At 39.0% G+C, this 27,436-nt stretch overlaps 2 protein-coding genes across 46 annotated transcripts in view, besides 2 other annotated features; one reads left to right on the top strand and one right to left on the bottom strand.

The window, feature by feature from the left end:
• BTD (biotinidase) overlaps positions 1-1,627 on the bottom strand; it is a 121,156-nt gene extending 119,529 nt beyond the window's left edge. For 13 of the 41 annotated variants that reach the window (NM_001370752.1, NM_001370753.1, NM_001407400.1 and 10 more), the window contains exon 1: positions 1,094-1,243. The gene's annotated coding sequence lies outside the window, so the exon portion shown is untranslated. Of the gene's footprint in view, positions 1-677; positions 986-1,093; positions 1,244-1,340 lie in introns of those variants that run through there. The other 28 variants (NM_001407379.1, NM_001407401.1, NM_001407371.1 and 25 more) reach the window with 7 other exon arrangements.
• Positions 872-1,514: an enhancer, noted in NCBI's record as "H3K27ac hESC enhancer chr3:15642981-15643623 (GRCh37/hg19 assembly coordinates)". NCBI's record gives its function as "activates a minimal SCP1, AML or CMV promoter by ChIP-STARR-seq in primed H9 embryonic stem cells {active_cell/tissue: H9 hESC(primed)}" and the evidence as "EXISTENCE:reporter gene assay evidence [ECO:0000049][PMID:30033119]".
• Positions 971-1,030: a silencer, noted in NCBI's record as "silent region_14107". NCBI's record gives its function as "represses an Ori minimal core promoter by ATAC-STARR-seq in GM12878 lymphoblastoid cells {active_cell/tissue: GM12878}" and the evidence as "EXISTENCE:reporter gene assay evidence [ECO:0000049][PMID:35858748]".
• The window catches only part of HACL1 (2-hydroxyacyl-CoA lyase 1), a 40,871-nt gene continuing 14,853 nt past the window's right edge, over positions 1,419-27,436 (top strand). Inside the window, exons 1-9 of one of the 5 annotated variants that reach the window (NM_012260.4) lie at positions 1,419-1,605; positions 1,794-1,898; positions 6,564-6,604; positions 11,308-11,388; positions 13,376-13,448; positions 16,386-16,463; positions 17,646-17,740; positions 19,999-20,111; positions 22,943-23,078. In NM_012260.4, coding sequence (NP_036392.2) covers positions 1,525-1,605; positions 1,794-1,898; positions 6,564-6,604; positions 11,308-11,388; positions 13,376-13,448; positions 16,386-16,463; positions 17,646-17,740; positions 19,999-20,111; positions 22,943-23,078 — 803 coding nt within the window. In that variant the 5' untranslated portion in view covers positions 1,419-1,524. The remainder of the gene's footprint in view (positions 1,606-1,793; positions 1,899-6,563; positions 6,605-11,307; positions 11,389-13,375; positions 13,449-16,385; positions 16,464-17,645; positions 17,741-19,998; positions 20,112-22,942; positions 23,079-27,436) is intronic. The other 4 variants (NR_104315.2, NM_001284413.2, NM_001284415.2 and 1 more) reach the window with 4 other exon arrangements.

The following is a 27,436-nucleotide window of genomic DNA, read 5'->3' as shown; positions in this document are numbered from 1 at the left end:
GTAAGACATGCCTTTGCTCCTCCTTCACCTTCTGCCATGATTGTGAGGCCTCCGTAGCCATTTGGAACTGTGAGACCATTAAACCTCTTTTTCTTTATAAATTACCCAGTTTTGGGTATTTCTTTATAGCAGTATGAAAATGGACTAACACCGTCCACATATGCAGGGAGGCAACCACTTCACTCTCCTCTGCTTGGGGTGGGGTTGAGGGGTTGAGAAAAAGAGGGGAAGACCTTTTGAAAAGACCCAGGACTACAGTTTGAAAATGTCTGGGTTTAGAAATCGTTTCACTTCCAGTGCTTCTCACTCATTTCACTACCCATGACCCACTCCCCTCTCATCTCTTTACTGTCCACTTATCACTGTTCTTTTTGCTTAAAATGACTCCAAATCCTCAAAAAATTAAAAGTTCCACTGTTTATTACAATTGGAAATTTTATGTTTATTGTCACTGAGCAGAGGGTCTAATGACTCCAAGGCAGTAGTTTCAGATATTGCACATTGCAAACGATTTTCACACAAAAATGTTTTAAAAGGCTATCGGGTGCAGGGCTGGTTGTAGGTAGGGACCCAACCTAAGAATTATGAAACGCCATAGTTCCTAATTTTGGAAAGATATTAGCGGAGAGTAATATGGATTAGTAGCAAGGGCTGGAGAAAACAGTGCTCTATACTACCTTCAAGGTGCTCTTTTCATCGCTTGTGACCCAATGGCTGAATAGTGGGTAGGAAACAGGATTCAGGATCTCAGGCACGGTCTGGATCTACTGACTCTGAGCGTCATTTTATCTCTTGCTGGGGTACACATCTGCTTCTGGATTTAAGTAACGTGCGCTACAATAATTTAAGGACTATAAAACCACAAGGTTATGAGAGCGTAAACCACAAAGCGTGTAAGTAAATGCCTAGAAAACGCAACGCGGTAGCACAGCAGCAACGCACAAACAGCCCCAGCAAACGACGCGCGCCGGGCTTCCCAGCTCCCGGCAGCCTTTGCGCAGCCCTCCCCAAGTCCAACTGGGCGCCCGGGGCGGGGTCTGGACCGCACGCCCTTACCACACCCCCTCCGCGCCGCACCACGCCCCCTCCGTACCTGCTCTTAGCGCGCCTTCCGCCCTGAATATGCGCATGCGCCATTCTCCCTTTACAGCCCCGAAAACGCTCCAGCTGGCCGACTCGGAGACAATGGCGAGAGGCCTCAGAGTTCGGCTTCTTACCTGCTTTGCATAGGCAGCAATCTCCTGCTAGTCCCGCCTCCCTCTGGCATTCTGGCGCGCGAATGGAGGAGCCGAGAAGAGAGCGCAGTTCTGATTGGAGAACGCGCGTGTTTACATTCTCACCTCTCCCGGGAAGTGGACGAATTTAGACCGCCTCTTCCTTCCCGTTGTTTAAGGCAGTTGGTTGCCCTCCTGTCCGTCAGAGGTGCAGTACCAGAGGTGGCGTGCTGCCGATTTCGCGTTTGCCTTGCTGGATGATTCCGCTTGTTTGCCGGCTGCGTGAGTGCTTAGAGCTTTTCGGTGGAAGATGCCGGACAGTAACTTCGCAGAGCGCAGCGAGGAGCAGGTGTCTGGTGCTAAAGTCATCGCTCAGGCCCTGAAAACGCAAGTACGATGGACCTTCCTGGAATGAAAGGCTCCTACGGAAGCTGGCGGGGACCGCGATGTTGTCTTGGAGACGAGTAGAAATGGGCGATGGGGGTCGGGGGGTTTTCCTTTTAGCGCCCGGGAGGGAGGGAAGGATGTGGCGATATGGTGGGGCCTTGGGAGTTTACTCCCCTGTTCTTCGTTCCTCAGGATGTGGAGTACATATTTGGCATCGTAGGCATCCCAGTGACCGAAATCGCCATTGCTGCCCAGCAGCTAGGCATCAAGTACATCGGGATGAGGAATGAGCAAGCGGTGAGTATGGACTCAGGTGGCTGAATGCGTTACTGGGAATGATCAGTAATAGCGGTAGGTATGCATTGCAAACACCCAGATAGCGCTTACCACTCTTCTGCTACTTTACATATATCATATCAATCACTGTTGAATATTAACTGTTGTTACACCAAGTTGACAGATGAGAAAAGACACAGGTTAAGTAAAACTTGCCTTTGGTGACACAGCTGGTAGTAGCAGAGCCAGGGTTTGAACCCACGTATTCTGGGTCTGAGTCCATTCTCTTACTACTATACTGTATGTCATGATTGGAATGGACAGTTTATGAGTAAAGTCTGACTTCCCTATTAGGCTACAAGCTCCATTAGAGCAGGGATATTATTTCTTCACGACACATCTGTACCCCCAGTGCTTAGTGTGGTGCCTGCATAAGAAAGGTGTTCAGAGATTACCTGTGGGATAAATGAGTGAAGGCCAAGGCTTTGTTGTATGATTGGTTCGGGGCAGGGTGGAGGATATCACAAATGGTAGTGCCTTGATGGAAACTCAGATGGCTCAGATCCTAGCCTGATGCTTTTTCCACCACATCATGCTGCCACCTTTCTTAGAGGCTTATTTGGAAGCAGGATAAGGAAGATACGACGTTTTGTCAATCCACTTTAAGTGCATCCTCTGCCAATCCACCTTGCTCTTCTCTCAGTAGTGCGGGCTTGAAAGGTCAAGAATCCACTTCTGTGATATCACATACTCTCAGTCCAGCTGAGGCTAAATATTCCTGCTTTACACTCCCACCGTTGCCTTCTAATTTAAATTCTTGCCTCCTCTTGCCCAAACAACTGCCTGGCCACCCTAAGTGGTGCCTTTTGCCATCATACATGAGTGCCTGGAGGGCAGAAGTTGTGATTCATTTGTTATATCACCACAGTGCCTGGCTTGGTTTGTGCTTTCACGTGGTGTAGATGCTTAATATTATACATTATTTATTAATTGAATGACATTCTTTATTGAATGACATTCTTTATTGAATGACATTCTTTATCTACAAGGTTTGAGATTTGTATTTTTTAATCTTAAAACTAGGAGGTTTTGAGTTTCTGTTGCTTCTACATTTTACTTGTCTTTGTTAGAACAACATTCTGTTCTTTCATCTGTGTGAAAAAATGAAGCTATTGACCTATGAATGGAACCTATACTTAACTGTTTTTGTAGAGATGACATATCTGCCACTGATTTCTTCATACAGCAAACATTTATTGACTAAGTACTGTATACTAAGGATTGTGCTACATAACCTGTAGGAGAGAGGGATGTAAAGAAGGAGTGAGGTTTAGTCTTGATCTTCACGTTGATCAGTCCTGGAAGGTGAGGGTAAGACTTACAGAAAAAGACTCATCTATTATAACTCTCACAATAGATGTAGTAGCACAGAAGGGGTGACTGGTTCTCTTTGAGGACAGAGAAGATTGCCTGTAGAGGTAATGTTAGTTCATGTGGTTCCCTCAAGGTAGGTAAAGGCATGGTGAGCTGTGAGACTGGTAGGTAGGTTGAGGGGAGGTTGTGGGAAATCTAAAAAGAGTTTGAATTTTTTTTTTTTTTTAACAGTAGGCAATGGGGGAGACTAAAGGTTTTTCTAAACAGGTGGGCGATGTAATTAGATTTGTACTTCAGAAAGATGATGCGAGGCATGGTTGTACATGCCAGTAATCCCAGCTACGAAGGGGGCTGAGGCAGGAGGATTACTCAAGTCCAGGAATTAGAGGCTGCCTGGGCAACATAGCACGACCTCTGTCTCTAAGTTTTATTTCAGCCCCTATAAGCTTAGTTGAGGGTTCTTTAGGTCCCATGTGCTGTGTTGGGTGCTGGATACAGAGATGAATGATAGTTCCTGGCTTTAAGGGGCTTACAGCCAAGCTGTGGAGACAGACACAGACAATTGTATTATAAGGTGGTAAGTGCTGTGATAGAGAGATATCCAGGGTGCTATAAAGCCCAGAGAAGGAGTACCCAGGCTCAGCTTCCCACAGGAGATGATGTCTGAGCTGTCCTGAAGGATAAGCAGGCATTAACCAGTTAGGAAAGAGGAGGCAGGCTCCTCTGGAGATGATTCCTAGATTTTGGGCTTACTTGATTGATTGTGTAGATCATATTGTCTGTGACTGAGACTGGGAATATAGAGGGAAGAGCCAGCTTGGAGGAGAAAGGTGATGTTCAATTTTGAACACATGCATTTGAGATGTTGGTGGAACATCCCAGTGCATATGTCCCTCAAGCATCCTGACTCTATGGTAGTCAAAGGAAGACTTAAATGGTACCTGAACTAAGGGTAGTGACAGAATGATTCAGAGGGAACATGAAAACAGGCTAAGGCATTCAGGACATGTTTGTGATAAAGAGAAAGATGTAGTTGGGTGTGACTTCATTGTCTTTGATTAGATCCATAGAGTAATCAAGACATACTGACCAATTGGCCAGCAAGTAGGCAGATTGTCAGCAAGTTCATTGTTCTTGAGAGCTTACTGTGTGTGGGCACTATTTTGAGTGTTTTACACATACGAACTGATTTCATCCTCACAGCAGTGCTTTGAATTATTTTCATTTTATAGATGAAGAAACAGAGATTTAGAGCAACTTGCCAAAATTACACAGTAGAAAGTGGGGAAGCTGGGATTTAAATCAAAACAGATTGGCTCGAGAGTCCACTCTCTAAGTACCATGTACACTGTTCTGCCTGTGAATGGAGGTAGTTTAGTAGAGGAACAGATCTTTTATGGTCATAAAACCAGTTATGGCCAGGCGCGGTGGCTCACGCCTGTAATCCCAGCACTTTGGGAGGCTGAGGCAGGCAGATCACCTGAGGTCAGGAGTTTGAGACCAGCCTGACCAACATGGAGAAACCCCGTTTCTAAAAATATAAAATTAGCCAGGCGTGGTGGTGCATGTTTGTAATGCCAGCTGCTCGGGAAGCTGAGGCAGGAGAATTGCTTGAACCTGGGAGGTGGAGGTTGCCGTGAGCCAATATTGCATCATTGCACTCCAGCCTGGGCAACAAGAGCGAAACTCCGAAACTCTGTCTCAAAAAAAAAAAACAAAACAAAACAAAATAAAACAAAACAAAACAGTTACCTCTCAACTTTTGACATTTCCTACCAGAGGAATATACTTTTTGTTACGTGTTGTTGTATATTTTGCATTGCCTAGCAACATTTCTTACCTAGCTATCATAAGTGGGCAATTCTTTTGGGTGTCTAAATAAAGTGTTCTTATTGCAGCAGGTATTTACATGCCTGCATTTCTTAGGAGTTGTCTTATTCTCCTAATGTGAATTTGGCCTTATGTGCAAAAGGAAAGAGAGATGGGGCCAGTAGAGAATAGCGACACAGGAAAAGAGCAGAGTCTTTGTGCAGGTTCTCAGTGGGTGTATGATAGTAGAGCCAGTTAAGATTATGATCCATAAACATTTCCTTTTTTTTTTTTTCCACATTTATGTCGTTAATGTGGAGTTCTTTAAGACAGTATACTACTTCATTTAAAGCTGAATGAAGGCTAGGAAATACGCAATTCATTATTATTTCTAAAGAAATGAGAAGAAATAATACTGGGAAAAAAATGATGTCCCAGACTAAGAAGAATTTGAGAGAGCACTCAGCATTTTCCCAGGTTATCTTGTGTGCATTTAATTTAGTGCCCCCTCTCTTCCTGATTATGAGCTGAAGTAGAGTTACAAGGTAAAAACTATCCATATGCAGGCCATAAAGGAAATCTCAATAAATCGCCAAGGATTGAAAGCGTGCAGTATATGTCACCTGACCATGTGGAAGTAAAGTGGAACTCAATAAGAGATCACTAAAAAGAATCTCAGACCTTTGGAAATTAAGCAACATACTTTTTGGTATTTTGTAAATATTTGAAAAGATTAACAAAATGAATAAACTTCAAGATAGACTGATTGAGAATAAAAGAGAAAACAGATTACCAATGTCAGGAATGAAAAAGGAGGTATCACTACAGATCCTAATTAACCAATGGGTTGAAGAAGAAATCACAATGGAAAGTAGAAAATATTTTGAATAGAATGATAATGAAAAGATGCAACTCAAACTTGTAACCTATAACTAAAGCAGTTCTTGGAATCATTTTAAACAAATTATTAGTAAAGAAAATTAAAAACCAGTGTTCTAAATTTGTATTTTAAGAAGCTAGAAAAAGAAAAGCAAATCAAATTCAAAATGACTGAAATAATAAATACAAGAACAGAAATCAATGAAATAGAAAACAAACAATAGAGAAAAACCAACAAAAATTTTCGAAGAACTAAAAAAATTTGTTCTTTGAAAAGATGGATAAATTTGATAAACCCCTCATGAGACTGATGAAGAATAAAAGAAAGAAAACAAATTACCAATATTGTTAATAAAAGAGGACATTCCTATTGATCCTGCAGATATTTAAGCAATTGTAAGAGGATGTTTTGAATAACATACATATGAACAAATTTCCTGAAAAACTAAAATTTAGATAACCATTATTTGAAATTTATGTGTAGAACATTTATTACTAAGGTTGGAAATATTTTAATTCTGCCTTTACCACTATGTTCTTGTCTATTATTTAATAGTAAGTTGCTGTCATAAATGTACTATAAGGATCCCAATATGCTCAAGTCCCAGTGTTGTTTTCTCGTAGGCTTGTTATGCTGCCTCCGCGATTGGATATCTGACAAGCAGGTAAACTAAAATTTGTTTCACTTCAATTACTTTAATATTTTGGGGTAGAACTATTACGTCTTTCAGCTGAAGGATGAGTTCATTTGGAAAGATTATAGAAAAATATATTAAATAACAAAGGATAAAAAACATTTAAAACTCTCTGAGGACCACATCAAAAGAATAATGATACCAGAAGTGTTTCAGAGTGGAACACATTGCCATTTTGTAGAGTGAATCACTGGTGATCAGATAGTGAGTTGATGTATGATACCTTGTCTTGGATCTCACAACTACCCCAGCACACTTAATACAAAAATGCTTGGTTCAAAATGTGACTGTTGAGAGCTGTTCCACACGTTCTGATTTTTTAGTGTGTATCCATGTTACCTAACTACCACCCCCTTTTTATTATTAAAAATTAATACATTTTTAAAATGTCCATTTTGGAAAACTTGGAAAATATAGAAAGCACAAAGAAGAAAATGAAAATCGACTAGGCACGGTGGGTCACGCCTGTAATCCCAGCACTTTGGGAGGCTGAGGCAGGTGGATCACCTGAGGTCAGGAGTTTGAGACCAGCTTGGCCAACATGGTGAAACACCATCTCTACTAAAAATACAAAAATCACCCTGGTGTGGTGGCATGCGTCTGTAATCCCAGCTACTCGGGAGGCTGAGGCAGGAGAATCGGCTTGAACCCAGGAGGCGGAGGTTGCAGTGAGCTGAGATTGCGCCACTGCACTCCAGCCTGGGTGATAGAGTGAGACTCCGTCTCAAAAAAAAAAAAAAAAAAAAAAAGGAAAAAAGATGAAGAAAATCACCTATGATCTCAGAACTGTTAAGAATTGGTCATTTTCTTCCAGTTTTTTCCCTTATCTATGTATTTTTTAAGCAGAATTTGGACTCTCACAGGAATGTGTATCATACTTTTTTCACATATGTTAGTTTTAATACATTTTTTTATTTCCAAAAATGAAACTAGTAATTCAGTTGCTAAGAAATGCAAACTAATAAGATTCTCAAAGTCTAGACCTCACCAGAATAGTTTTTTTTCTGTGATAAGGAACTTGTGAATTTGAACCTGAAAAAAATAGGCCATCAAGTAACACTATTGTCACTGTTTTCTGCCGCTTTATTTACATATGACAAATATTTTAATCTTTTCATTTAGCTTGGAAAGCATTTAAATTATAGTTATTAATTAATGCCTTAATGTAAAAAATGCTAGAACAATGATTAAGAGAATGGTTAAAAGTTCATACTTTTTTTTTTTTGAGATGGAGTCTTGCACTGTTATCTGGGCTGGACAGTGCAGTGGTGCAATCTCGGCTCAGTGGAACCTCTGCCTCCTGGGTTCAAGCGATCCTCATGCCTCAGCTTCCCCAGTAGCTGGGATTACAGGCATGCACCACCACACCCAGCTAATTTTTGTATTTTAGTAGAGATGGGGTTTCACTATGTTGGCCAGGATGGTCTCTGTCTCTTGACCTCATGATCTGCTGGCCTTGGCCTCCCAAAGGGCTGGGATTACAGGCGTGAGCCACCATGCCCGGCCGAAAAGTTCATATTTAAAACATTTTTGCTGTTTGAATGAACTTCTGGAGCTGCACTGGCAAGTATAGTAGCCACGAGCCGTATGACTTGTTTACATTTAAATTAATTAAAATTAAATAACATTTAAATCATAGTTTATCAGTTTGTAGTAGCCACATTTCAAGTGCTCAGTAACCATGTCAGTAGTGGCTACCGTATCATACTGCAAATGCAGAACATTTCTATTACTATACAAAGTTCTGTTGGATAGTACTGTTCTAGAAGTTTAGTTTACTTGGTGGTAATTACTTATTTTCAAGTCTGTCTTAAACAGAAATTTTTAAGAAATTATTTTATAAGTGTAAAATGGTGAACTGAATTATATTGAGATACCTTTTTCCCGAGTGGTTTAAGCTTAGAAAGTCACACTGAAGGGTAAAACATTCAAGTTCAATATTTATTTATTTGGAGTCTCACTCTGTCGTCTCCATGCTGGAGTGCAGTGGCACCATCTCGGCTCACTGCAAACTCCACCTCCCAGGTTCCAGCGATTCTCCTGCCTCAGCCTCCCAAGTAGCTGGCACTACAGGTGTGCACCACCATACTCAGCTAGTTTTTATATTTTTTAGAGACAGGGTTTCATCATGTTGCCCAGGCTGGTCTTGAACTCCTAGACTCAAGTGATCCATCTGCCTCAGCCTCTCAAGATGCTGGGATTACAGACGTCAGCCACCGTGCTCAGCCTCAAATTCAGTTTTAAAAGATTTTGGGGACCAGGCGCGGTGGCTCATGCCTGTAATCCCAGCACTTTGGGAGGCCGAGGCGGGTGGATCACCTGAGGCCAGGAGTTGGAGACAAGCCTGGCCAAACATGGTGAAACCCCGTCTCTACTAAAAATACAAAAATTAGCCGGGTGTGGTGGCACATGCCTGTAATCCCAGCTACTTGGGAGGCTGAGGCAGGAGAATCACTTGAATCCGGGAGGCGGAGGTTGCAGTGAGCCGAGATCACACCATTGCACTGCAGCCTGGGGAACAAGAACGAGACTTCGTCTCAAAAAAAAAAAAAAAAAAGACAAAAAAAAAAACACAAAACATTTTGGGCAGAGCACTGCATTCAGAATTACTTTCCTATCAAAGATCAGTCGACGTTATATTTATTTGTTAAGAAATGAAAAAAAAACCTTTTTTCATACAAAAATGAACTCAGCAGTCAAAAATTTGCTTCTGTATACCATTAACTTGATTTAGTCCAGATGTAGTCCAGATCAAAATAAGTGGTTAGAGACATAAGGTGTGAAAATGATAGGTACCTTATTTCTCACAAGAAATCCGATATCTTTCTTTTTTTGGGCCAGGCATGCTGGCTTATGCCTGTAATCCCAGCACTTTGGGAGGCCAAGGCAGGCAGATTGCTTGAGCCCAGGAGTTCAAGACCAGCCTGGGCAACATGGTGAAACCCCATCTCTACCAAAAAAAAATACAAAAAATTAGCCGGGTGTGGTGGCATCTGCCTGTAGTCCCGGTTACTTGGGAGGCTGTGGTGGGAAGATCACCTGAGCTTAGGAGGTTGAGGCTGCAGTGAGCCCTGATCATGCCACTGCACTCCAGCCTGAGCAACAGAGTGAGATGCTATCTCAAAAAAAAAGTGTGTATATATATACACACACGCACATATATATGTGTGTATATATACACACATATATACGTATGTGTGTATGTGTGTATATATACATATATACGTATGTGTGTGTATATATACACACACATATATGTATATGTGTGTGTATATATACACTTTTTTTGAGATAGCATCTCACTCTTGCCCAGAGTATATATGTACATATGCGTACATGTGTATACACGCACACATGTGCGTACATGTGTATACACGCACACATGTGCGTACATGTGTATACACGCACACATGTGCGTACATGTGTATACACGCACACATGTGCGTACATGTGTATACACGCACACATGTGCGTACATGTGTATACACGCACACATGTGCGTACATGTGTATACACGCACACATGTGCGTACATGTGTATACACGCACACATGTGCGTACATGTGTATACACGCACACATGTGCGTACATGTGTATACACGCACACATGTGCGTACATGTGTATACACGCACACATGTGCGTACATGTGTATACACGCACACATGTGCGTACATGTGTATACACGCACACATGTGCGTACATGTGTATACACGCACACATGTGCGTACATGTGTATACACGCACACATGTGCGTACATGTGTATACACGCACACATGTGCGTACATGTGTATACACGCACACATGTGCGTACATGTGTATACATGTGTATATGTATACAAGTGTATATACAAGTGTATATGTATACAAGTGTATGTATACGTGTGTGTATGTATACGTGTGTGTATGTATACGTGTGTCTACATGCATACGTGTGTGTATACGTGTGTCTACATGTATACACGTGTGTGTATACGTGTGTCTGTATGTATACATATATATAGAGTATACTCTGGTGCCCAGAGTATATATACATATATGTATACATATATATACGTATGTATACATATACACGTATGTATACGTATATATGGATCCATATATACACGTATGTATACGTATATACGTATGTATACATATATACACGCATGTATACATATATACGTATGTATACATATATACATGCATGTATACGTATATACGTATGTATACATATATACACGTATGTATACGTATATAGTGTGTATATATACGTATATAGTGTGTGTATATATACGTATACGTATATACGTATATATACGTATATAGTGTGTGTATATATACGTATGTAGTGTGTGTATATATACGTATATAGTATATACTATAGGTATATAGTGTGTATATATATACACTATGTATATAGTGTGTGTATATATACACGTATATACGTATATATACACTATATACATATATAGTGTATACACTATATACGTATATGTGTGTATGTATATATATCGCGATATATATATATCGCCTTGTTTTTTAATTAAAAATATTCTAATAATTGTTTTATCAGTTATAGTAAAGACTTGTATGTCCTTCCTTTGAAGTCCAAGATTGCCATGTTTCACACTAAAGTGTTATGAATCAGTTGTTACATTTGACCTGATTTTAATAAATTCTGTTTTGCTTTTAGGCCAGGAGTCTGCCTTGTTGTTTCTGGCCCAGGTCTCATCCATGCCTTGGGCGGTATGGCAAATGCAAACATGAACTGCTGGTAATGACATTATTATTACTGAAAACATTTTCTTAAAAAGGTCACTGCAGGATTTTACTGAGTAGAGCTAATGCTGATCTAGGGTAGAAAGACTTGGAAAAAAAAAACCCCTTCAATTCTTAGAAACTGAAAGTAGAGTTAGTTACCGGGGAGGGAATGAGGAGGAGGAGGGGGAATAGGGAGATAGGTCAAAGGGTACAAAGTTTCAGTCAAGTACGATAAAGCCTGGAGATCTAATGTACAACATGAAAGCCATAGTTAATAATATTGTGTATTGTAAATTTGCAAAGAGAGTAAATTTTAGGTACTTTTACCAAAAAAAGTGACTATTTCTACAATATCTTAGGAAAAAAAGTAACATGAATATGTTAATTTGCTTGACTGTAGTAATCATTTCACTATATGTACATCAAAATATCATATGGTATACCTTAAATAGATATAACTTAAAAAAGAGTATTAGGAAGAAAATTCAAAGCACCAGTAATTTAGTTACTTAGAGATAAACACTTTCTTTTTTTGAGACGGAGTCTCTCTGTCGCCCAGGCTGGAGTGCAGTGGTGCAATCTTGGCACACCACAACCTCTGCCTCCCAGGTTCAAGTGATTCTCCTGCGTCAGCCTCCCAAGTAGCTGGGATTACAGGCCCCTGCCACCACGCCCGGCTAATTTTTGTATTTTTAGTAGAGAAGAGGTTTCACCATGCTGGCCAGGCTGGTCTCAAACTCCTGACCTCAGGTGATCCACCTGCCTTGGCTTCCCAAAGTGCTGGGATTACAGGCATGAGCCACCGCACCCAGCTGCCATAAACACTTTTAACATTTTAGAGTTCCTAATATGTGTGTGTATGTGTGAACGTATGTGTAGTTCTATTTACTTTAAGTGAAGAATTATTTTTTTAAAGATCCAAGCTCAGTGTGTAAAATGTGGCTAATTTTTCACCTTGTTTTGCATAGGTAGGAAGATATTTGAAATTCTTATATTCATTTAGTTTGCTTTATATATAAACTATTTAGTACTTATTCTCTGATCTTGCCCTTAACTCCGTCTCTGGCACTTTACCAGTGAGATCAGGTTGAGGGGGGTTAGGTTCTAATCAATTTGGAACATATTTAATCTTTCTAGTGGAAAGGACATTGTTTTCTTTCTTGCCCTGTGTTTCTTATAGTTTCTTCTTTACTTTCCTTTTGATCTTTCTCTTCTTTATCTACTTTAAGGTGTTATATTTTTTAAGTACCTTAAGGTTTCCCATATCTTTTTTTTTTCCACATTGAAGGATAAGAATTTCATTGCTGAGGAATGTCACTTATTTTGCAATTTCTAAATAGATTCACTTAGGAAAGTGTAAAATTTTTCTTCCCCTTATCCCAAGAATAAGAAAGGCATAAAAATTTATTTTATGTCAATATACCTGGAAGCTTAGCGTCAGCATCCAAAAGGGGAAGGGGAAGAAGGGAAGGAAAACATTTACTATACATTTTGTCTTTTTCTGATATTAAGGAAAGTTCTCTCATATCAGGTTGCTTCTTAGATATTTTTTAATCTACAATTTCTTTCTTTTTTTTTGAGACAGAGTCTTGCTCTGTTGCCCAGGCTGGGGTGCAGTGGCACAATCTCGGCTCACTGTAACCTCTGCTTCCCAGGTTCAAGCAATTCTTCTACCTCAGCCTCCCAAGTAGCTGGGATTACAGGCGCCCACCAGCACGCCTGGCTAATTTTTGTATTTTTTGTAGAGCTGGGGTTTCACCATGTTGGCCATGCTGGTCTTGAACTCCTGATTTCAAGTGATCCACCCACCTTGGCCTCCCAAAGTGCTGGATTACAAGGGGTGAGCCACCTCACCCAGCCTTAATCTACAGTTTCTAAGAAAAAAATATAATATTCTCTCCCTTTAACATTTATTATTTGTTGTGAATTAGACACTGTGTTTAGTGTTTTACATGATGATCTAATTTGTAATTATCTTGTTAAAAAAATGATTGTTTCAGGCCCTTGCTTGTGATTGGTGGTTCCTCTGAAAGAAACCAAGAAACAATGGGAGCTTTCCAGGAGTTTCCTCAGGTATCCAACTTTAAGATTTTGGTTTTTTTTATTTTTAATTTTTGAAACAGGATCTTGCTTTGTTGTTGAGGCTGCAGTGCAGTGGTGCCATCTCAGCTCACTGCAGTCTTGACCTCCTGACCTCAAGCAATCTTCCCACCTCAGCCTCCCAAGCAGCTGGGACTACAGGTTCACACCACCATGCCTGGCTAATTTTTGAGTTTTTTGTAGAGACGAGGTTTCACCATGTTGCCCAGGCTGGTCTTGAACTCTTGAGCTCAAGCGATCCACCTGCCTCAGCTTTCCAAAGTGCTGGGATTACAAGCATGAGCCACCGCACTTGGCCTGCAACTCTTAAGATTTTAGTAACACAATACATACACACCATTAAGAGGTAGAGAGAAGATATAAAAAAGCCTCCTGTTTGCAAAATAAAATAAATAAATTAGAAGTACCTGAAGTAACTTAAAGGTAATTATCTTGAGCTACTATAAGACAACTTCAGGGTGGATATTAAGGGTGAGCTTAGGCCCTGCTTAGAAACAAGCTTTCAAGAAATACACCTTTGTGACAGGATTTTAAGCTCTGAAAATAGGCTCTTAAAGGAGTCAAGAAGATGTAGGAATAAAAATGATTTTGGACTATGCCTCCCAGACTTTAGGGAAATAAGAGGAAAAAACTTACTCAAAATGATTATCAGTAGACTCTGGACAAGTATATTTTTATTTTAGAAGGAGGAAAGAAAGCATGTCAAAATTAAAAGAAACTTGAAAGAATATGTCAACAAAATGCTACAGTTTTAAGAATAAAGCTGGACACGTGGTTCGTAACTGTATTCCTAGCTACTCAGCTACTAGGCTGAGGAGGGAGAATTGCTGGAGCCCAAATGTTTGAGACCAAACATATGTCTGTACAACATATTCAGGTCTTATCTCTGTCTTTCTTTCTTTCTTTTTTTTTTCTTTTTTGAGACAGGATATGGCTGTGTTGCCCAATCTGCAGTGCAGTGGCGCAGTCTTGGCTCACTGCAGCCTTTACCTCCTAGGCTTAAGCCATCCTCCCACCTCAGCCTCCTAAGTGGCTGGGACTATAGGCACACGCCACCATGCCCAGATAATTTTTGTACTTTTTGCAGAGACAGTGTTTTGCCATGGTGCCCAGGCTGGTCTTGAACTCCTGACCTCAAGTGATCCACCACCTTGGCCTCCCAAAGTACTGGGATTACAGGCGTGAGCCACCACACCCATCCAAGATACCGTGTCTTTAGAAAAAACAGTTGTTGGAAACAAATAGCTGAAAGTGAATGATTGACACTTAAGATATAAATATATTTGAGCATTTACAGGACAAAGTTAAAATCATTAGACAGCCGGGCATGGTGGCTCACCCCTGTAATCACAGCACTTTGGGAGCCCCAAGCGTGTAGATCACCTGAGGTCAGGAGTTTGAGACCAGCCTGGCCAACATGGTGAAACTCTGTCTCTACTAAAAATACAAAAATTAGCTGGGCTTGGTGGTGGGTGCCCGTAATCCTCGCTACTTGGGAGGCTGAGGCAGGAGAATCACTTGAACCCAGGAGGCAGAGGTTACAGTGAGCCGAGATCGTACCACTGTACTCCAGTCTGGGTGACAAGAGTGAAACTCCATCTCAAAAATAAATACATAAATAAAATCATTAGACAAAGTCTATTTGTAAATCAGAAATCATTACTGAGAACTTCAAAAAATAAAATTTCATATATGATAAACTAAAATACTGAACTCTAGTATAAGTTAATGCAAAAGTTATATTTTTATACTCTTAGAAGGGAATCGAAGTTTTATTTAGTTAATAGTAGACGATAACAGTTATTTAAAAGATGCTTATGTGTTTGGAAAATAAGTAGAGCAGATTAAGTTAATTAAAAGGAAATCTAAAGTTACTGCAGAAACTATATACGTGAAAAAGAAAACAGGATAAATGTCCACTACATATTTTTTTCCTGAAATGGAAAATAATAGTTTATTAGATCAAATTTAAAAACAGAAGAGAAAGAATCCAAGTATCTGGTTTTTGTGGAAGTCCTTAAAACTAAAGGGCATGAACATAGACTGAAAATCGGAGGGTGATCTTAATTTTGTCATGCCTGTGGGACTATCAGCTTTTCATAGATTTCATACTAAAACATCAAGAGAAACAGTTTCTATATAATGCCTCAAGATATATAGATCTGAGGCATTTTCCTGAAATGGAAAATAATAGTTTATTAGATCAAATTTAAAAACAGAAGAGAAAGAATCCAAGTATCTGGTTTTTGTGGAAGTCCTTAAAACTAAAGGGCATGAACATAGACTGAAAATCGGAGGGTGATCTTAATTTTGTCATGCCTGTGGGACTATCAGCTTTTCATAGATTTCATACTAAAACATCAAGAGAAACAGTTTCTATATAATGCCTCAAGATATATTAAACAGTGAAAAATTATCACTACTGAATTCATATATTCGAAACACCATAGCAAGAAAGTATATAAAAGGAACACTGGCAGAAATGTAAGAATAGATTATTATTATAACAAAATCTAACAGATGAAGTTTTATATTCTTATCTGTGAAATTGCTGGATCCAAAGATATGCTGATTTAAATTTTTTGTAGATTTTAACTTCCTTTCCCATTTATAGTCTCACCAGCAGTTTATAGAAGTGCCTATTTTCCTGTGTTGTGTTAGATGGTGGGTATTATCAGACTTTTGCATCTTTGCCAAAAGATTTTGCATCTTTGGTATGATACGCTTCCTGAATCATACCAAGGCAAAACTTTGTACTTTGAATAGGCTTTTAAGGGACAGTCTAGGCAATATATTTTCTCCATCTTGCCTCTAAACATAAAAGAAATTAATGACTTAACATTTTGTCTTCTTTCAGGAGAGTAACATGATTGTGAGCTGAATTTTAAGTGATTTTCATTTTCCATGTAGGTTGAAGCTTGTAGATTATATACCAAGTTCTCTGCCCGCCCAAGCAGCATAGAAGCTATTCCTTTTGTTATTGAAAAGGTACAGTATTTAATAACAAGCTCTCCAAGTCAACTGATTTTTCTCAGTTGCTCATACTTACTGTTATTTTTATTCTCAAAAGAATGAGTGACAATTAGGAACATACCCAGGCAGTTAAAAATGGCATTGTTAGAAAGCTATTTACATTTTAGTGTTCACTGTCATTACATTTAATTATAGAGAGGTAAAATAAGTTATTTTTGGAAAAAGTTTCTCCTGTGTTTTAGTTTTTAAAATTACCTTTTTAATTATACAAAAGTAAAGAGAAAGGTTTATAATGAACCCTTGAGTACCTTTTCTCTTGTGCTTTTGCAAAAGATTATTTTTGAAAATTGGGATTAAACCAAAACCCTCTAAGACCCTCCGTTAGTTAATTAATACAGCATACAGGTTGATTATTCCTTACCTGAAATGCTTTTCAGAAGTGTTTCTGACTGCAGATTTTTTCAGATTTTAGAATATTTGCATATATATAATGAGACATCTTGGGGATGTGACCCAAGTCTAAATATGAAATTCATTTATTTTTCATATGTACCTTATACACATAGTCTGATGATTATTTTTCCCTTGGGGATGCTGAATAAACTGTTTAGACACCTGCATTTTGACTGTGAGCTGTCACATGAGGTCAGATATGGAATTTTCCACCTGTATCATCTTCTTGGCACACACTAAGTTTCACATTTTGGAAGATTTTGGATTTTTGGATTACAGATACTCAACCTGTATTATAAATTATAATCAGCATTTATACGTGAAATTACATTTTAGCTGTTTCAAAACCAGGAGTTACAGAAACCATTTGATACGTGTAACAGCATCACAGTTTCTGAAAACACTGCCAGATTACTAAGATTAGGAAGCAGATGAAAGTACATATTACAGTGCAAAAACTTGGCAGGCAGAGCCGGGTGAATAATTTCCCAAGCTAAAGTGTAATAGAACATGAATTTTAAAGCCCTAAATGAATACTTTCTTATCTCTCTCCCTTTTAAACAAAAAATCTTTAAAAATGTAGTCAATAGAGGACATTTCGATTTTCATCATAATTATTTTTTTCTCCACAAGGATGTCCAGAAAAATGAAAAGTGTTCATTTTCCAGTTTTAAATTATCTTTGAGTAGAATATGATAAGACTGAGATTTTACAAATCTTTTCTTCTACTTGTAATGAACGTAGGCAGTGAGAAGCAGTATCTATGGTCGTCCAGGTGCTTGCTATGTTGACATACCAGCAGATTTTGTGAACCTTCAGGTGAATGTGAATTCTATAAAGTGAGTAATAGTTATGCTGGAATTCTTTCTTCAATGTACATGTATTATCATAATGCCTACCTTTTTAGAAGAATTTACCCAGCAGTTTATAAGTTAATTTCCATTTGTCTTAACTTGATTATTTAGTAATTAAACTGAATCCTAGCCAAAGGGTTAATTTTCTTAATTAAAATGATATTAGTAGTTATTTATGGATTTAATTACTAAACCAAATACTTAGAACTTCCTGAACTCCTCGTTGAAAATATTCCTCCAGTAACCATAAATATACATCCCTCGTTAATGTAATATGGGTCCTTGAGAATCTTTATAATGTAAGCCAAGAGGTTGGGTGATTATTAAAAAGTATTAGGACTCAGGATAAAAAACATCTAGCTGTCTCTCTCTGTGGTTAACAAATATTCCAGTATAGAGGTTTCTATGATTTCTCATATTCTCATATTTCTTAAATAAACACTAAGTGAAAAGAAGTACAAAAAGCATTTTTCACTGGTATCTAAATCATCCCCTGATAGAGATAGGTACTTAGGGTTAAAGCATCATGGGTACTGTTTAGTGCGTTTCTGCTGTTGTGGACCAAATGGTTCTCTAGTGACTACAGAGAGTCAGTGGGTCTTACTGTATACTCTGTGTACCAAAGAGTGATTTTTTTTTCAATTTGAGACTGAGTCTCTCCCTGTTGCCCGGGCTGGAGTGCAGTGGCACTATCTCAGCTCACTGCAACCTCTGCCTCCTGGGTTCAAGCGATTCTCCTGCCTCAGCCTCCCAAGTAGCTGGGATTACAGGCGCCCGCCACCATGCTTGGCTAATTTTTGTATTTTTAGTAGAGACAGGGTTCCATCATGTTGGCCAGGCTGGTCTCGAACTCCTGACCTTGTGATCCACCAACCTCGGCCTCACAAAGTGCTGGGATTACAGGCATGAGCCACCGTGCCCAGCCAGGAGTGATTTTTTATTTCGGAGAGTCAGATAAAAAAGACACTTGTTTATTCTGCCTAATACCTGAACATGATAATCAAAATACTACTAAGGGGAGGAGGGTAAGCTCAGGTAAGTTAACTCTGTAAGCCTTCTTCTAAATTTTATACAGATTGTCCTTTTTTATTATATGTCTAAATATTTTGACAATATGTCTAAATTTTATACAGTATAATTTATATTAATTAGAATAAATGAAATAGCACAGGACTTGGTGTCCAGAAATACTTAACTGTGACAGTTTGAATATTTCTTTTACTAATGCATATTATGATACTAAAATATTAACACCCAGTGAGTGGAACTGTAGTGGGGCTGGGTGCGGTGGCTTACACCTGTAATCTCAGCACTTTGGGAGGCCGAGGTGGGTGGATCACCTGAGGTAGGAGTTTGAGACCAACCTGGCCAACATAGTGAAACCCCATCTCTACGAAAAATACAAAAATTAGCCAGGCTTGGTGGCATGTGCCTGTAGTCCCAGCTACTCAGGAGGCTGAGGCAGGAGAATCGCTTGAACTTGGGAGATGGAGGTTGCAGTGAGCCAAGTTCGCACCGCTGCACTTAAGCCTGGGTGACAGAGTAAGACTCTGTCTCCACAAAAGAAAAAAAAAAAGAAAAGAAAAAAAAAAAAGAGAAATGTGGTAAGGTGTTTAAAAGCATGGACTTTGGAGACAGAATGACTAGTTCAGTCCTGTCTCTGCCACGTGCCATCTGGAGATCTTGGACAAGTTACTTTCTCTGAGTCTTTTTTTCCTCAGTGGTGAAATGGAGATGATGTTAATACCTAACCTCATTGTTTTGACAGTTAAATGAGAATAAATGGCACATAGCAAATATTAGATTTTATTATGTTTTTACTGTTAGGACAGCTACTGCTGCTACTACAGTACAAAGCCATTAACTCAGATTTTCTGTTAATGAATTGGCCATTTCACTGGTTATTAGATGATATCAGGGAATAACTGTTAATTTACTAGATGTGATAATGATGTGATAGTTGAATATAGGAGAAGGTCCTTATTCACAGCTGCATGGAGAAATTTTTAAGGGTGAAGTGTCTTGATGCCTATTTACTTTAAAATAGTTCATGAAAAATAAATGCATGTTTATGTGTGTATATATGAAACAAATGTGGTAAAATGATATTAAGTTGTTAGATCTACATGGGGGTGTATGGAGATTTATTGTACTATTTTTTCTACCTTTCTATATATTTGAAATTTTCACAATAAAAAGATCATAGTTGGCCTCTTTTAATTAATAGGGCTCTTTTTTTCCAGGTACATGGAACGCTGCATGTCACCTCCTATTAGCATGGCAGAAACCTCTGCTGTGTGCACGGCGGCTTCTGTTATTAGGAATGCCAAACAACCCCTTCTTATCATCGGGAAAGGTAGCATGAATAGAACTCTAAATCTTGCTAGGCTTTTGAAAGTGCCAATTCTTTTTACAAACTTTCATTGTTTATTAATGTCTATTCTAATGTTTGAGATTGGAATAAGAATTCTCTTCATCCATTTAGCATTATTTGTTTTGAAATTACAGACTTATTCTTTAATGCCCAGAGATTTCACCCTTTTAAGGAAATACTACCTATTTAATTTCTTTGGTCTTATTAGTGAAATGTGCTTATTCTATTATAAAACATTTTGGAAAAATCAAGAAAAGTAGAAGTTCCTTCATCTAAGGTAACTTTTTAATATTTAGTACATTTCTATTCCTTTTTACACATAGATTATGTACTGTGCTCATATTATAGACCGTTTTATATTCTACCTTATTCATTTAAGATTATAATATTTTTCATCTTAAAAGTATTTCCTAAATATAATTTTTAATGTCTCTTCATGTGTACGTTAACACTTACTTTCCTGGCAAATATTTAAATCTTTGCCAGTAACTGTTTAGAGTAGCTGTGGCAGACATGTTTGTGCCTAAAGCTTTTTCTATATTTAGGATTTAAGTTTCCTAGAAAGAAAAGTTAGAGGGTATGAGTATTTTTAAGACTTTTAGTGTATATTGTCATATTGCTTTCTCTGGAGGTGTTGTACCAACCAATTTATACTCCTGTCAGCAATTTATTATAGTATCCATTTCGTGTTCTGGAACTGAGGCTGCTGGGATCACCTATGACCATGCTAATCAATTATCAACTGCTTAGGAACTAAATCTGTAGAAACTAAAAATAGTTTGATAGTGTATGACAAAAAAATTGAGGTCAGAACTGAGTGGAATGTGTTGTATGATGTATTAGCTCTGTGACTTTGGGAAACAACTGCTTTGAGTCTCAGATTGCTTCACTTGTAAAATAGGGATATTAACTACCTCAATAGGATATAATTAAATAGCAAAATATGTGGAAAGCACTCAGTGGATGCTAGTTTTCATTCTTCTTTTAACAAACATTTGATGAATGCTTATGATAAGGCAGGGATTACACAAAACATTCATGAGGGATACAGAGAAATAGTGGTTCCTACCTATTGGGGAGGGGAGATAGACCTGGTAACAAGTAAGTGCGGTATGTTCTTGCGTGGTGTGTACAGAGAGGTTGAGGTGGGTTTTCAAGGAAAGCAGCAACAATTTGCTTGTGTAGATAGTATGGAAGGACTATCCAGAAGAGATGACACAACAGCTGCATCTTGAAAAAGCAGACAATAGTTCACCAAGTGGACAGAGACCAAAGGCAAAGCAGGAAGAGAGAACTGAGTGTACAAAGACATTGAGACAGGAAGGAGAATACAAGAAAACTTTCTGGATTAAAGAAAAGGAACTATTTTTCATCATACATGTATGAGAAGGGATTTTAAGGTAGTTTTGTAGAGTGGAGCATTATATTGAATCTGCAAGTGCATGATACTGTTTACTAGGATTCAGTAGAGAATTATATATACAGAATATGGAATAATATACTAGCCTTGAAAAATTATAAAATAGCAAAAAAAAATAGTGGTCTTGATGACATTAGAAATGGAACATTTGAACAATAAGGTATTTTTAATGTCATCAAGGGAATAGGGCAGAGGGTTATTCCCAGGCACATAACTGTGAAAACAAATGATAACGTGGGCCGAGTGTGGTGGCTCACGCCTGTAATCCCAACACTTTGGGAGGCCGAGGTGGGCGGATCACCTAAGGTCAGGAGTTCGAGACCATCCTGGCCAACATGGTGAAACCCTGTCTCTACTGAAAATACAAAAATTAGCTGGGCGTGGTGGCAGGCGCCTGTAATCCCAGCTACTTGGGAGGCTGAGGCAGGAGAATCGCTTGAACCCGGGAGGTGGAGGTTGCAGTGAACCGAGATCGCGCCATTGCGCTCCAGCCTGGGTGACAAGAGTGAGACTTTGCCTCAACAACAACAACAAAAAAGATAATGTGTCCCACTGGGGTTAGCTCTGTTACAATCACAGAATTACAGAGCCTGTAGAAAGATCTGCAGATCTTTAGAAACTTAATGCACCTTAGAATTTCCATGCCTGGACTAGGAGGCCTTGTGTAGAGGAGGTTTACTGGAGATGAGGACCAACATATGAGGGTAGAGAGAGCCTTTCTCTTTCAGGGCAACATTTTTCCCTGGCCACCTGGGCCTCTCAATGAAGATAGTGTGTTCAGGGACTTGTAGAGTGTAGTTTAGTAGGACCATAGCATAGAATGGGTAAGTGACAGTAGCAAGAGCTGTGAGATGTGACTTTTGTTTTGGGATAGACATCCTTCAGGATAATTGAGAGTGTTATTGGTGGAAAATTAGAACTCTTACTTTGTTAAGCATTTTAAAATACCAGCGATAAAAACTGTAATCACAATTTGTTTTGAGTTTAAGCCCAGGTATAGGCAGAAGGAGAGTATTTGAGAAGATCTACAAGTAATTTCTTAGGAGGTCAAGGAAGGAGGATTGCTTGAGCCCATGAGTTCAAGACCAGCATACCAGCTGGGCAATATAGGGAGACCTCGTCTATACAGAAAATTTTAAAAGTAGCTGAGTGCGGTGGTGATGTGTGTCTGTAGTCCCAGCAACTCGGGAAGCTGAGGAGGAAAGATTGCTTGAGCCAGGGAGGCAGAGGTTACAGTGAGCCAAAATCATGCCACTGCACTCCAGCCTGGGTGATAGAGTGAGTCCCTGTCTCAAAATATAAATAAGTAAAAAGCAATTTCACATGAACTTTTTTAAGGGTCACAGTGCCTATAGCTTAACTGAATTGTCCAATACATTTGCATTTCTTATAGGTGCTGCTTACGCTCATGCAGAAGAGAGTATCAAGAAATTGGTGGAGCAATATAAACTGCCATTTTTGCCCACCCCTATGGGGAAGGGTGTTGTCCCTGACAACCATCCATACTGTGTAGGTGCAGCCAGATCCAGGTGTGTGGCATTCCAGATTTTAAATACAATGGCTTGGTAGATTTTAGGCTAATTTAAATTATTTTGTGATCTTCATCTAGGATGGAGTTCTGAAAGAATCATGGAATTTTAAGCATACCTGTTTATTTTTGGACTATCTTCTGGCTTTCATTTCATATGAGAAATCTGCAGTCATTCAAATTATTGTTGCTCTGTATGTAATATGTTGTTTTTCCATGGCTGTTCCCAAGATTTTCCTTTGTCTTTTGTTTTCAGCAGTTTAAGTATGATGTGCCTGGAAATGGTTTATTTTAATTTAGCCTTTTGGGATTCTCAAATCTTGAATATTTAAATTTATGTCTTTCTCTAAATTGTCTTTCTCTAAATTTGGAAAGTTTTCATCATTCTTTCTTCAAATATTTTTTCTATGTCAACCTTCATCCATTTTGATACTGTCTGACATGTCCCCGAGTATCTATCTGTTCATTTCTTTTTAATCCTTTTATTTTATATTTTGCTTCTCTGCTGAGATCTTCTATTTTTACATTTCTTTTAAGAATATTTTTCTATACTTCATGATGGGGTAAATTATAATAGTTTCTGCAGTCTTTGTTTATTAATTCCAACATCTGAGTCATCTCAGATTGGCATCTATTCATTATCTTTTCTTTTGAGAGTTGATCACATTTTTCTGGCTCTTTTTGTACTGAGTAATTTTGGATTGTATCCTGGATTTTTGGATATTGTATTTGGAGATTCTGGGTCATATTAAAATCCTCTGTAGAATGTTGATTTTTGTTGGTTTCTCTTAGCAATCAGTCAACGTGATTAGATTAGCTTGACTACAAATCGAAGTGTGAACTTAACCATATATAAGTAGTTCCAGGGTCACTTCAGTTTCAGAGCCTTTGCTGTGCTGTTTTGAGTCTGTCTGCACATGTCCAGCTCAGGGGTGAGCCCCAGACATGTACTGGTTCATACCCAGAATTAGGGATTTATTTTCTCTCCTCTGTAGGCTCCACACCCCCACTCTCCCATTCTCAGTTGCCCCTTTTCCTGGCTCTTGCTGCTCCCTTATAGTATCACATAACTAAAGCTGCCCTCTGAACAAGCTGCAGAAGAAAAAAATAATGGGGATTGTCCCCATACTCTTCAGACCACAGGGACCCTTTTTCCCAATCCCTCTTGCCTCAAAGATGACGTTTCTCTTGGAATTTCAGCTGCTTGGGAGCCACCACCATGCAGCTCTGCAGTAAGGCTGCCCTCAGAGCAGAGCTTGGAGATAAAGAAAAAAAGAAAAAAAATCTGACATTTCCCCCCATACTCTCCAGCTTGCAGTGGCCCTTTTCCTGATCCTTTGGCCAAAAAAACAGTTTCTCTGCAAGTTTTCGCTGCTTGCAGTTCTGCAACTAGGGCTGCCTTTGAGTCAAAGCCAGGAGACAAAACACGGGGGAGAAATACCTTGGAAACTTACCCTCTGTGTGGGTTGCTTCTTCAAACTTAGCCAATCTTGGCTGGCATTGGAAGTTTCCTCTTTTTAGATTTTTAAGGCATGCTTTTTAATATACTATAACTTTTTTCTTTTTAATTTCTTGAAATGTCTTTATTATGAAATATTCTAACTATACACACAGGAAGAGAGAATAATGTAATGAACACTTACATAACCACCACTCAACTTTATCAGCATCAACATAAAAAATATAGACAGATGAATCTCTAAGTAAAAAAAGGTTTCATTTGGCAGTAATGTATAAGAAGTAGGATTGCATCAGTTATTAACATTGTTTTATATTGCTTTAGGGTTTTTGGTTTTTTTTTTTTTTTTTTTTTGAGACGGAGTCTTGCTCTGTCACCCAGGCTGGAGTGCAGTGGCGCGATCTTGGTTCACTGCAAGCTCTGTCTCCTGGGTTCACACCATTCTCCTGCCTCACCCTCCCTAGTAGCTGGGACTACAGGCGCCTGCCACCACACCCGGCTAATTTTTTGTATTTTTAGTAGAGATGGGGTTTCACTGTGTTAGCCAGGATGGTCTCCATCTCCTGATTTTGTGATCCGCCCGCCTCAGCCTCCCAAAGTGCTGGGATTACAGGTGTGAGCCACTGCGCCCAGCCGGTTTTTGGGTTTTTTTTGGAGACAGGGTCTTGCTCTGTTGCCTGGACTGGAGTGCAGTGGTGCAATCACACCTGATTGCAACCTCTGCCTGCTGGGCTAAAGCAATCCTCCCACCTCAGCCTCCCAAGTATTAATAGCTGGAACTACAGGTGTGTGCCACTACAACCCAGCTAATTTTTGTATTTTTTGTAGAAACGAGGTTTCACCGTGTTGCCCATGCTGGTCTTGATCTCCTGGGCTCAAGGAATCCACCCTTCTAGGCCTCGCAAAGTGCTAGGATTACAGGCATGAGCCACCATGCCTGGCCTAAGGTGTTTTTTTTTTTTCTTTTTAGGAAGCAAAAAATTATGGATTCATTTGCAGTCCCCTAAATATCTTTTTTGATGCCATTTCTTGCTTCCCTTTCTGTAGTTTATTACTGTCATGTGTTTGGTGTTCTTCATATTTTCATTCATGGGTTAAAATTAATTCTGAGGGTTTTTGATTTTTATTTTGTAGAGACAGGGCCTCACTGTGTTGCCCAGGCTGGACTCAGACCCCTAGGCTCAAGTGATCCTTCCACCTTGGCCTCCCAAAGTGCTGGGATTACAGGTGTGAGCACCTGGCTTCTGAGGGCTTTTTAAATGTAATGTTTGCTGCTAGATCTTTAATTGTTCCTCACTTAATGCTATCTTAATATGTTGTATTTTTATTTATATTACTATATACAGTAACCAAGTTAATTCTTACACTTAATTTTTTTATACTTAGGTTGAAATGAAGTTTATCTTCAGTCTAGCCAGATTTTAAGAGGATAATATTAATGACATTACCAGTGTAAAAAAGGTTACAAGGGACTATAAATAATTGAATCAATGATTTCAAGAGTTTTAGAGTATCAGTAAGCAAGTCCGTCCTGCTGATTGCAGTTATCTGTTTGTTAAATTGGGTCTCATAGGACTAATACAATATTAAAGATGATTTTTGAGTATGTACTCAATTTATGAGTATATAATTTCTGTGAAAAATTGCATTTATCACTGAAGAAGACAAAAGCAGTAGATACAGATCCTGTATGGCAAAAGACAGGAAAAAGGGGAAACAGATAAAAAGCAGAAAAATGAGAAGTGAAAAACAAAACAAAACCCACAGCAATTATGACAATTATGATAATAAACTCTCCTGGAAAAAGGCAGACATTCAGATTAGATTAGATTAGTAATAACAGCAACTGTATGTGTTATAAGAGCCACATCGGAAACGTAATGATACAGCTTTAAAACAAGACTGGGCAAAGATATGTGAAGTAAAGAAAAAGAAAGCAAGGGTGGTTGTTTACGAAAGTAGAAATCATTAAAAGATTAGAAGTTATATTGACAAAAGTATTAAAATATATAAAATAAAACTTAGAAATCTAATTGGTGTAATATTTTAGAAAGCAATTCTGGAATATGAATCAATAGTCTTAAAAATAACCTGCTTCTAGGGACCAATGTGAAGAGTGCATTAAGACTTAAGTGTGAAGATGTGCAAGCCAGCACTATTAATAACAAAATATCTAGCAATTGAGAAAACATTAAATAAATTTTGGTATATTGTGTTCAGCAAAATATGTAGCCTTTAAAAGTTGTATTTAAGAACTTAATGAGAAAGGAAACCTTTTTTTTTTTTTTTTTTTTTTTGAGACAGAGTCTCGCTTTGTTACTAGGCTGGAGTGCAGTGGTGTGATCTCGGCTCAGTGCAGCCTCGACCTCCCGAGCTCAAGCAATTCTTCTGCCTCAGCCTCCTGAGTAGCTGGGACTACAGGCACGCACCACCACAACCAGCTAATTTTTGTATTTTTAGTAGAGATGGGGTTTCACTATGTTGGCCAGGGTGGTCTCCATCTGTTGACCTCATGATCCACCTATCTCTGCCTCCCAAAGTGTTGGGATTACAGGCATGAGCCACCGCACCAGGCCAGGAAAACATTTATGTAAGCAAAAGTATATGAGACAGCCAGGTGCAGTGGTTCATGCCTGTAATCCAAACAATTTGGGAGGCCAAGGTGGGCGAATCACTTGAAACCAGGAGTTCGAGACTAGCCTGGGCAAGATGGCAAAACCCCATCTCTACAAAAAATTAAAAATTAGTCAGGTGCAGTGGCACGTGCCTGTAGTCCCAACTGCTCAGGAGGCTGAGGTAGGAGGGTTGCTTAAGCCTGAGAGGAGAGGATGCAGTGAGCCATGACTGCACCACTGCATTCCAGCCCGGGCAAAAGAGAGAGAGACCCTGTCTCAAAACAA

The sequence above is a fragment of the Homo sapiens genome, chromosome 3, assembly GCF_000001405.40.
Source record: "Homo sapiens chromosome 3, GRCh38.p14 Primary Assembly".
Lineage (NCBI taxonomy): Eukaryota > Metazoa > Chordata > Mammalia > Primates > Hominidae > Homo > Homo sapiens.
This window is presented reverse-complemented; position numbering and strand designations above follow the sequence as displayed.